General features: G+C 39.5%; 1 pseudogene; it reads right to left on the minus strand.

The window, feature by feature from the left end:
• On the minus strand, nucleotides 360–6,097 carry CNTNAP3P4 (CNTNAP3 pseudogene 4; annotated as a pseudogene).

A 12,406-nucleotide genomic window follows, 5' to 3' on the forward strand; every position in this document is an offset into this window, starting at 1 on the left:
GAGAAGATTCTCAGAATTAAAATTATGGTCCAACTCAAGTAATGGAACAAGCTGTTAACATCATGCATTTTTAATTTAATTTAGTTTCTACCTTTTACTATATCTGATTCTCCTAGACTTATTTCCCCATTGCTTGCCAGTTTCTTTTTTCAATCCTATGTGTACCACGTATTTCTGTGCACTGTCTCAACACCCTTGTATTAAATAAGGTGGATTAAAAGTAAACTAGAAATTGAATGCTGAAATATCTCTTCTGATGTGTTTGCATGATTGCAAATATGCAGATACATATAAACAACTAATCAAAATGAAATGACAAAGAGATGCTGACAGAAACGAGAGGGAGGTGTGAGGCTTACAGGAATGGCAGGTCTCGCCCGTATAGCCTGTGCCCAGACAATCACAGGAGAAGGTGTCCCACGACTGGGAACACTCGCCCCCATGCTCACAGTAGCTGGGCAAGCACCTAAAAGAAAACAGATACAACTGCTGTTTCCCTTTTTCAATCATCAAAAAATAAGTGTCTTACCAAAAACAGGTTAACCAAAAACAGGTTAATGTGAAAGAGCAGCATACGCAAGATAACCCCACATGACGTGATTACTGGGTCTGCCATCAAGGTTCTCTAATTATATTGACAAACTTTAGATAAATATATCCATTAGCATGCAGCTGATTATTAGGTTTCTGAGACAGCTGAATTTTCAACACATTTCTTTTTTTCTTTGTCCCAAGTGACACAATAACTTGACATGTGGCTAGCAAAACCAATTACATACATAAAACTATGAAATATGGCATGCTCCGTTACTATATTGTGGTCATTTTTAAAAGAAAGAAGGGGAAACAGGGAGGAAGATACAGAGGGGAGAAGAAAGAAACAGGAACAGCTTCAGTCACATAGTGACAGAGGTTCAGAAATTTTGAAGAACATTTAATTTAGGTCATCTTGTCACCTTTTAGATTTGCAATAAGCAGTCGGTTATTGCTTTTTAAGCAATCTTAACACTGGTAATATGTCAATATGACCCAAAGCAATCTACAAATTCAATACAATTCTTATTAAAATCCCAATGCCTTTTTTTGCAGAAAACAAAAATCCATCCTAAAATTCATAGGGAACCTCAAGGGACCCTGAACCAGCCAATGTTGAAAAAGAACAGTTGGAGGTCTCACACTTTCAGAATTCTTGGAATCTGCTGCCGCCCACTATAATATTGGGGGCCTAGCATGCCTGCCTCTCAGGATTGTTAGGGGAACAGGGAGCAGGGTACACTATGGAAACTGACCAGCACCTGACACAGAGTGTCACCAAGAGGTAGTGTGACCTTCTGGAGGCCTGGCCTGAATACCATGACCCACCTCTGCCTTGAGCAGGGTTGGATCTCAGCCTCTGGCCGCTGTCTCCCACTGCTGAGTACACAGCTAAGGACCTGGTAAAGAGTGAAGATTCTAAAGGACACTGACCTTCCAGGCCGTGAGGGACATCATAGTCCATGCTGGAGTGGCAGAGGCGGGGAGCACCCCAGTGCCCCTCACCATGGGACCCAGAGAAGTAACAGAAGAGGGGCCGGGAGGTTGTGACAGGCCTCCTGGCTGTGGTGGAAGGACGACCAGCAGAGAACTGGGGTATGAAGTTGACAGAAAGCCCCAGGGGCCTGTATTTGGCCTCGGGAGAGATCCTTTGAGGGGAACCTGAGGGGCTGGGAAGAATCCGCAGCATTCCCTACCCTCCCCATGCCCCCAGCCCCCTATCCTGGCTCTCCAGCACTGCACCACCAGCTCAGGGCCAAGACTTCCATAATTACATGGTGTTAATGAGCATTTAGTCTGCATTCAGAGAAGAGTTAGGGGCCATGAGAATCACAACTTTTCAAGTATTTCAAAGGCCAAGGCATGGAAAAGCCTGTGTGAACTGATCAGAAGAGGGGGAGCTGGAGCGACAGGCAAGGTTGGCTGGGGTGGGGGCCCACCCTCATACCATTTTTAAAAGAGCAGCTGTTCCTCTTCCCCCACATCCTTCTCCCTCTCCTCCCCTTCCTTCTTAATATAATGGAGCATCTTAAGATCATACCTGACTTGAAGATTCCACAAATTTTAAAAAACATTAAAAACCACTGCTGTTTGATATCAACAGGGAGAGAATAACTTTAGTTCAAAATATTTGGAAATAAGAACTATTTAAGTGATCTAGAGACTATCAACATGTATACACTATTTTTCTTCAACTAAACACAACATCAATTGTGAAAAATTTACATGTATTACAAATAATAGAGGAAGTAGCTAGCATGCAGAAGACCAACAGAGGGGAAGATGGCAGAGGGAGGGCAGGAGTGGGGTCAGAAGCCTGGTCAGCACAGCCAGGTGAGGAGGTGACGGAGGCCTCCCTGCTCAGGGAGCCCCAGTTGGAACGCAGCACAGGACTCCACTGGAAGCTCTGCCATGTGGTATACAGGGCAAACCTTAAAACAGTATAGGAATTTGATGTAAGAGGTGATTAAGAAGTTAAAACCTATCCTGGCCGGGTGTGGTGGCTCACGCCTGTAATCCCAGCACTTTGGGAGGCTGACGCGGGTGGATCACGAGGTCAGGAGATCGAGACCATCCTGGCTAACACGGTGAAACCCCGTCTTTACTAAAAATACAAAAAATTAGCCAGGTGTGGTGGCGGGCGCCTGTAGTTCCAGCTACTCGGGAGGCCGAGGCACGAGATTGGCATGAACCCAGGAGGCGGAGCTTGCAGTGAGCCGAGATCGTGCCACTGCACTCCAGCCTGGGCGATAGAGCGAGACTCTGTCTCAAAAAAACAAACAAACAAACACCTATCCAAACATAAACATCCATTATTTGTGACTCTGTCATCCAAAGTGCCCATTGCTATTTTTTGCGTAGCTTAAAATTTTGACTAAAAAAGATAACTTCATACCCCTTATCTGTCCCTAAGTAGGATTTTTAGGTCTGGTATTTGAGTAACATATGTTTCTACTTTGTGAGTTAGTGATATGGTTTGGCTGTGTCCCCACCCAAATCTCATCTTAAATTGTAGTTCTCATAATTCCCACCGTGTCATGGGAGGGAACCTGTGGGAGGTAACTGAATCATGCGGGCAGATCTTTCTCAGGCTTTTCTCATGATAGTGAATAAGTCTCACGAGATCTGATGGTTTTATAAAGGGGAGTTTCCCTGCACAGGTTCTCTTGCGTGCTGCCATATAAGACGTGTCTTGTTTCTCCTTCACCTTCTGCTATCATTGTGAGGCCTCCCCAGCCATGTGGAACTGTGAATCCATTAAGCCTTTTTTCTTTATAATTACCCAGTCTTGGGTATATCTTTATTAGCAGCATGAGAACAGACTAATACAATTAGATTTTTGTTTGTTTGTTTGTTTGTTTGTTAACAACAACAAAGAAAGGCTGATAGATGCTTACAGGCCTGTTTTCAGGATACTTAAAAGTGAATTTTCAGTATTTTCAGGTTTTGAAAACTTTATGTAAAGGGAACAGCAAAGGTCTTTAATTTTAACTCTGTAGGATGTCATTTTGTGTCCCCAAAGTTTTCTAATTTTATTGCTTTATAAAATTCAGGTTTTCAAAATAATCTCAGAGGAGCTAGTCTTCTACGTTACTGAATTTGGGAATGAAATAGTAAATAGCCTTTATTTGTAGCCCTATTTGAAAATGATTTAAAAGTGCTTTCTTAAAATCCTTATCTGCAATGATTATTGTACACATCATGGCTGAAGTTTAAGTGTGGCTCACACATACATGCTTAGTTGAGCATGTTTACAAGTAACTTTGGGGTACAATTTGGAGGGCTTTTTAAAATGTGGGATCTTAGATACCAAGTTAGGCACCAATGTAACTCTTGGGACTTTAAGGTTAAAACAAAACAGCCTATAACAGTAAAAACAATAGTTTTGTACTTTGGGAGCTACATGCACAAAGCAGGCAACATGGATCATCTCTGAAAAGAGGCAGCCTCACAATATATATCTCATAACAGAAACACTGCAAATGGATCATATTTTGTGAGTAATTAACAAGGTATCAAAATAATGTCATACAAGTGAAGAAAATCACACTTGCATCACAGTTGAGCTGACAGCTGTTGTCACTCACAGTGTGGGCCCATGGGACATTACCCCTTAACTCAGAGAGAGCTGAGCTCCCTGGCTAGTTAGCTGAGCAACTTGGGATTATATTAAGTGAGCAAATGGCCAGAAACCTTCCCAACTACCCTTCCCACGACTACAGAGTGGGGTTCTGGAGCTGGTGTTGAGATGTAAATGCAGTCCCAGCTGTGTGCCAAGAATTCAAATCTCAAGGTCAAGAATGAGAGGTACTTGACAAATTCTTACACTTCATATACTCCTCATCTTTGAATTAATTCATTTTTCCTACAAATCAACAGAATGTTCACAGGGGGAAATTATTCCATGCTGAATAAATAAAGTCCATATGAATGAACTTTTCATTTAGTAGTAATTGCGTTTTTTTAGTATGTCACTAACTGTGAGTTATAAATTAAAACCTGTTTAGCCAGAGAGGATAATTTTACAGTTAATGTTTAAAACAGAATTGACTAACTGAATTTACTCCATGAAGAAGGCAGGTTTTGAAAGTTCTACCAGATGCAGATATAACTTTTTTTTTTTTTTTTTTTTTGAGAAGAGTCTGGCTCTGTTGCCCAGGCTGGAGTGCAGTGGCACGATCTCATTCACTGCAAGCTCCGCCTCCCGGGTTCACGCCATTCTCCTGCCTCAGCGTGCCGAGTAGCTGGAACTACAGGCGCCCGCCACCATGCCTGGCTAATTTTTTGCATTTTTAGTAGAGACGGGGTTTCACCATGTTAGCCAGGATGGTCTCGATCTCCTGACCTCGTGATCCGCCCGCCTCGGCCTCCCAAAGTGCTGGGATTACAGGCGTGAGCCACCGCGCTGGGCCAGATTATCGCTTTTTAATTTTTAAATCTGTAGCATTTATTTATTCACTGAAAGTAAATACCAAATGTACTGGGGCAAATTGTATGTAGAAATATTATTTTTCCAGGTGTGACCCTACGATTCTTCTCAGCCAAAATCTTTGTAAAATTATGGCACAACTAGCATAACTGTGGTTGTAATACTTATTTGAATTAAATGTTTTTCTTGTCTAACCTCCATATTTCATTGAGTATGTCCTTCTGCACACATCTTCATCCGTCTTTATGATTCAAACTTTTCTAGCAGAAATTACTTTTTATTTTCTCTGCAGAACATGTGGGGTTGGGTGGCTGATGAATAGTAACCTGGCAAATTCCTCTGCCTGGAAAAATATCATCCAACTGATGGGTGTGTGGTTGCAAAAGCGAGCTTTATAACTATTAGCTGAGCAACTCGGGATCATATTAAGGTAAAATTCATAAGGTGTATATCTTCTAATAAAATACTATCATTTAAAAAATGCTATTTATTCCATTAGAGATGCAGTTTTTGCTTTTGTTTTGAGACGGAGTCTCGCTCTGTCACCCAGGCTGGAGTGCAGTGGCGCGATCTCTGCTCACTGCAAGCTCCACCTCCCGGGTTCATGCCATTCTCCTGCCTCAGCCTCCCCAGTAGCTGGGACTACAGGCGCCTGCCACCACGCCTGGCTAATTTTTTTTTTCTGTATTTTTAGTAGAGACGGGGTTTCACCATGTTAGCCAGGATGAAGTTGATCTCCTGATCTCGTGATCCGCCAGCCTCAGCCGCATTACAGGTGTGAGCCACCACGCCCGGCCAAGATGAAGTTTTCTAATCCTCATAGTAATTATGACTATTTCATTCCCTCTCGAAAGATAACAACAACAAAAAAGAGAACGGAATGCCTTTTTCCAGCTGTCTACATTTGCTTTCTTCAACTTTGAAAACAGGCAAGCTAAAGTGACCTAGGATGGCCCTTACCTGTCTGTGATGCCGCAGGAGTCTATCTGGAGGTCCCTGAAACTCCCCAGCGCCCCCTGCTGTACTAAGATGGGATCCACCGCTTTGTCACCAATGGTGATGAGCCTTAGGCAGCCCTGAAACCCTCCCAGGGGGCTTTTACATCCAGAGCCAGAGCTGTTGCCCAGGCAGCCTGAATATGAAGACAAAAATAGGACAAAAGCAACAACTATGACAAAACTATTCCACAGTATTTACTATATGAAGACTGCTGCTCCCGCTTGTTTATGGACATCGGTATGATGCGATGAGCTTCACCATTCATTAGAGAGGTGAGAAGGGGCAAGGTTAGAACTGATCAAATTTAAGATAATACCTGGAATTCAGAATAAGAAATTACGGGGGAAAATTCAGATCTAAAATTCCTATAACAGGAATTATTTCCCAACCAAGTGAAAAGAGGTTTGGCTTCTTTTGTGAAATCTCATCTAAGAAATAAGCATGCATTTTAGCATTATGTAGTATAAGTGAAAAAAATTAAAGTGGAGGTTAAATTAAAATAAATGAAATCATAGCCCAAATTTTATTTAGGATATGCTGTGAAGTGTGAAAAATGCTACCTGAAAATATAATTGTGTACTACCATTTATCTAAAATATGTTAAATATCTACCCTATAGGTGTTTTTGTGTGTTGCGATGTATGTATATTTGGGAGTATTTAAAAACGTATTTTTTTATACTGACTGGGTGGAAATACCTAGATTTGCTTTTCTAGTAACACTTTCTTTGGTATTAGGTACTTTAGTCAAATATATAACTAAAGATTAAATTCTAATGTTAACAACAACACAAAAAGTAACAGGACATAACACACTGTTAGGGTACATAAGGATAAAAATTTGCAGTCCAGAATGTTCTATGAATAGAAAGAGATAAAATAGACATTTATTTCCAATAGTAGAAGTTAAATATTAAAAGTTTCACTACAATCGTCAGCTAATTTCACCTAAATTACAAATGACAATGCTTATGACATCACTTCCCTTTACTATGTGGGCTTGTTTTGTGAAACAAGAACAGTACTTATAAGAAGCAGTGGTGAGTGCCTGACTTTGACGTAAGCAGTATTACTCCACACCAGTCCAAGCATATAGGAAAGTAGTGTCTTGAACTTACTCCCACCCTCTTGAGTTACAATATATAACCTAATAATGGAACTCTAAGTTTGAAAAGTAAGGAAAAGGATGAAAGTACACACTCTAGTTAAAGAAAACACAATAATTGTAAAATCTTTTTATTTAAAGACAACTGTTTGTAGAAAGAGTCATATTAATTCAGAATAAAATCATAAGGCATTTGTCTAAGTCAGGAGTCTGCAAAGGTTTTCTGTAAAACGCAGATAGTAAACACTTTTGGTTTTGTGGGTCACACCTGGTCTCTGTTGCATGTCCTTCTTGTTATAACCCTTTAAAAATACAAAGCAGGGCTGGGCGCGGTGGCTCACGCCTGTAAACCCAGCACTTTGGGAGGCCAAGGCGGGCGGATCATGAGAACCGTGAGGAGAGATTTTACCCTACTTGCAAGCTAACAAATGAGTCTGCCAGTTTGTTTCATCGTTGCGGCAGAAGACTCCTGGGTCAAAGCAAAGGACTGTATTACTTACAGCATAGCAAACAATATGAGCATCAGCATATTTGCATCAATTCCCTTGCCTCCAAGTCCTCTGGGGGAATATGGATGGGCACAGATGGATGTGTGCACACGCAGTGGGTTACATGACAAGTGAGGAGCCCTGAGCTTAGGGAATTCAAAGTTTTCTACAGGCAGCAGGCATTGCTTGCCCTTTGGCAACACTGCTGAAATAAATCTCTTATAGTTCAAGATGTATTGATAAGCATGTTAAGCTTATTTTTATACATGAAGAACAACAAATTGTTATTTTCTATGGTTATTCACAGTATCTCAAAATCTATGTGATATTTTACTAGCTTAGTTTTATTATAATTTTAAAAGACCATTTGGGTTCCTTTGTTAGTGGACAAGAATAAAAAGAGATAAATTAGTTACTTTCTTAAAGCTAAGCAACATCATTTTCTATTGAGGAACCCAAAACTTTCCTAACTTTTACAAATGTTTGTAAATTGTAGGTTCTGTGACAGCCTGTGCTATAAAATTTCATAAGCTTATAAGAGCTTTCTTAACACAGCTGTGGACTTTTCTCCTGGTGTTGTACAGCAGTTCAAATTAGCTCAAGAATCATAAACCCTATATTTGAACAGCTATATAATATTATATATTTATTTTCCCATTTGATGTTGCATTACTTTTTCTACCAACCTTCTTACAATAAATTCATAAATATCTTAATTATAGCAAATGTGAAGTTCTTAAAGATGAGAATCATCAAACATATTTCTATTACAGAGATATATTCTTCAAAAAGTCATCTAAAATAGAAACCCAACTGGGAGACACCTTAAAAGTTTATCTGCCACAACAGAAGCTTTGCTTAAAATACTGTTCTCTTTGTATTTGTGTTAATAATTGATTTGTCTTTGAAATTAAATTAGGAATCTACTATATCTAGTGGTCTTGAAATCAAAGCCCCCTCCCCATTCCTTATCTTCACTGCTGTGTTCAAAAAGACTAGACTCCAGGGACGTGTCCAAAGCTGGGTTAAATATAGGATGTCTGAGAGACACCCTTCTTTCATAGTTCGAGGGTAAGCATGTAGCTGTATGTGCATGGAGGGGCGGGTGGAGGAGGTTAGCTGTATCAGGGTAGGCATAATACTATATTTTAAATCCCTCCTTCTGTTATAAATGTAAGCTGAAAATAGTCTCTGCTCCCAGCGGCAGCAATCGTAAACTCGCTTAGTTCTGCCTGTAATTTAATTTAACATGTGACATTGAGACAATCTTTCTTTTAATTCACATATAACTTCTTCCTCACCCACATTCCAGCCAAATAAACACATACTTGTAGAAAAATGTGACTGTTTTCCTGGGCATCCCAACAATTCAACTGTCCCTAAAACACCAGGTTCAATTTAAACTCTATTAGCTTGTCTGAGGGCTAAGATATCTAAAAATCCAAGACAAATTATCATTTGCATATATGGAGGCAGCTCTGATTGAACAGATATCTAAAACGGTTAGGTAATATTTTAGATCAAATCACTCCATCAAGTCAAAGACTAATTCAACTGTTTGTTCAGTTTCCAAAGGAATCCTTCCATTTTGGTCTAGTGTTCCATAAACATTGACTTTACATGAAAAGGACAGTGAAGAGATCTCTTGAACCGGCCAGAAAGTTGAAGCTCAAGGTTGTAGAAGATTTGAGCTACCAAGTCCAAGCCTTCTAAAAGATTCCCAATATGTATATATATATCATTTTCTTAACTCTACATTTGCCTGAGAAACAATGACATTCAATAAACTTTTTTCCATGGGATTTAGTTACAAAATAAGTCAAGGAACTACAAGTTATATATTTCCTGGAAAAATATACTATTATACATATATATTATATATTCAAAACTCCATAAAGCATATAAAGTATAAGCATATACTGAGTTATAAGGCATAACTCAACATGTTATTTTAACCTAAAATTTTCTTAGGCCCTCAATTGCAAATGCTGTAATTGCCAATGGTTCATAAACACATCTGTGAATTAGAAGCAAGTAATATCCTCTGTTTTTATACTCTCAAAAAATGTGATTATACTTAATCAAAAGTAATTCAAACCACAGCCCAGGCAATACATACTAGACCATGTCTTCTTGGTAATTTAATTCTTAGCAATAATTTTAATTGCTGCCTTATTAAGTAGGTATGCTACTTAAATTACAATCCTGTAGTTACAAGGTTAAAACTATTTTAAAATCTCAAATGTTTTCAGATTTCAATCACTCTTCGTATTATTACAACAAAAATGTTCATTAACTGGAACACATGCAGTATCATTTTTTAGCCCCCACTTTATGATATTTTTTAATATTTATTACCAGAGTAGTCATTTCATTATAAAATTTTAACCAAGCTAAGCATATACTCCGTTTTTTAGAAAACTAGATTTACTGTAGTCGTGTTAAGGCTATCATAGTAAGCAATGAATTTCACACTTGTCTTTTATACAGTACCACAACACGTCAAGCAGATATATGAAATCCTTGACAAAAGACATTTAAAACAAACAATTCCATGCTTTATATGTCAAGTGGAAAAGGAATATTTTTTCTACAGTGACAGAGCAGACTTGACATGTGCACAATCATGTAAAACCAAGCGTTTGCAAATGCTCTTACAACGTGGAGCAACCGGGCCTAGGGACAAGCAACCTTTCAGCTAAGAGTCTCGTCAAAGGTGCGGAAGCCCATTACAGAAGACCAGATAACAGTCAGTCTGACGGGTTCATTCAGATATTCAAGCTTTAAAAAGTACTTCGAAGACTGATACAGATGTCCTAGGCAATAAACGTCCCAAAAAGAATGGGGAACAATCCCAGTGCCAATTACATCTTTGTCATTCAGAAATCCAGGCTAATTTGATTTAGAGACATACATAAACGAACTGTTATTTCTCATAATTGTTTTTTTTCAGCCTCTTTATTTTTAATCTACATCTCTTAGGTAAAATGCATCAATTTAACTACATTTACTTATTCTGAGTTTTTCTATTGGTCCATGTTTCCTTTAAACACAATTTTGAATGGTTTTTTAAAGTAACCATTTGATTTTGAAACCAATTTACAGAAAACATGGAAGAACTATGCTAATATGCTGTATCACCCCTGAATACTTCAATGTACATTTCCTACAACAAAGATGTTCTCCTATATAACCATAATATGATCATCACAGTCATCATGGATAAAGTTCCAATATTTAATCCCCAATCTTGTTCAAGTTTCACCAATTTCCAATCATGTCCTTTATAACATAAGCATTTAATGCAGAATAGTATTTAGTTGCCTTGTCTTCTTAGCCTCTGTCAATCATTCCAATGCCTCTTTCCTCACTCCACTCAACCTCTGACAACTTGCTATAGGTCACCACCAGTGCTGTCTCCTGTCTCTCCAGGTCCCCACCCTTGCTACACTGTGGATGCTTTCCTTACCCTGCTGGTTTCTGAATGCTCTGCCACGGTCCTGGGCCTCCCCACTACCCAGCATGGATGCCTAAGCTGAACTGAATGACCTTGGACTGAATTGTTCAAAAAGAGAAGGGGAGAGGAAGAGGAAGAAGAATGCCAAGTAATTTGATTTTTCTTTTTTCATGACCAAACCAATGTCTTGGAATTGATTATCATTTCCATGGGCTACTTATGCTCCGTACTGTTTGTGTAGAGTTTGGTGAAAATGAATAAAGGCAACTGAACTACATTTTTTGGGGTTTTTTTGTTATTTTTTTGAGACAGAGTGTCACTCTGTCACCCAGGCTGGAGTGCAGTGGCACGATCTCAGCTCACTGCCTCCTCACAGGCACCTGCCACCATGCCCTGAAATTTTTTCATATTTTTAGTAGAGACGGGGTTTCACCGTGTTGTCCAGGCTGGTTTCAAACTCCAGACCTCAAGTGATCCACCCACCTCACCCTCCCAAAGTGCTGGGATTACAGGTGTGAGCCACCGCGCCCGGCCTGAACTCCATTTTTTATAGAGTACCATTTGACACTAAAATTAAGAGTCTGTTACTCATCTGCAGAATCTCTCTTTAAATGGTATTACTAAAAGGTCCAAAATGAAACATCTGTAAAAATAATTATTCCTACACTCTGTGAGATCTCTTTCCTGACACATTTCACATCTAAGTGAGTTTCCTAACTAACCCACACACACTCTATAGTAGGCTTACCCGTCTTTCCCCAGGCTGGCTGGCGAACTTGCAAAACATAACCATTTAGGGGAAAAAATTGAGGCAATTAAAATTAAAAGTGTTTTAGGCTAAGTAATGAATAAATTAACCCACTGAAAAGTTACATCAAAGGCTATTCTCAGCATTTTACCAATTACAGGAATTTCTGCAAAATCTGCCCAGCCATTTGTTTGTGTATCCCTGGGATCAGTGCCCAGAGTTCAATCTTTCTCTTGATGCTTCCTGCTGTTTTCAGGGACTCAATGAGAGCAGTAAGTGACCTTTCACTCACTGCAAGTCTATGGGCACTGAAGTTAGGAAAATATTTCCCTTCATGCAGAATCTTCCTAACAAAGCTTTCCATGTATTTGTCGGGTCAAATAACATTCAGATAAACTGCACATAATCCCCACAATGCCAAATGTTTAGAGAGCTTTTTTTTTTTTTTTTTGAGACGGAGTTTTGTGTTTTGCTCTTGTTGCCCAGGCTGGAGTGTTATGGTGGGATCTCGGCTCACTGCAACCTCCATCTCCCAGGTTCAAGCGATTCTCCTGCCTCAGCCTCCCGAGCAGCTGGAATTACAGATGCCTGCCACCACGCCCGGCTAATTTTTGTATTTTTAGTAGAGACAGGGTTTCACCATGGTG

Source organism: Homo sapiens, chromosome 9 (genome assembly GCF_000001405.40).
Source record: "Homo sapiens chromosome 9, GRCh38.p14 Primary Assembly".
NCBI classification, from domain to species: domain Eukaryota; kingdom Metazoa; phylum Chordata; class Mammalia; order Primates; family Hominidae; genus Homo; species Homo sapiens.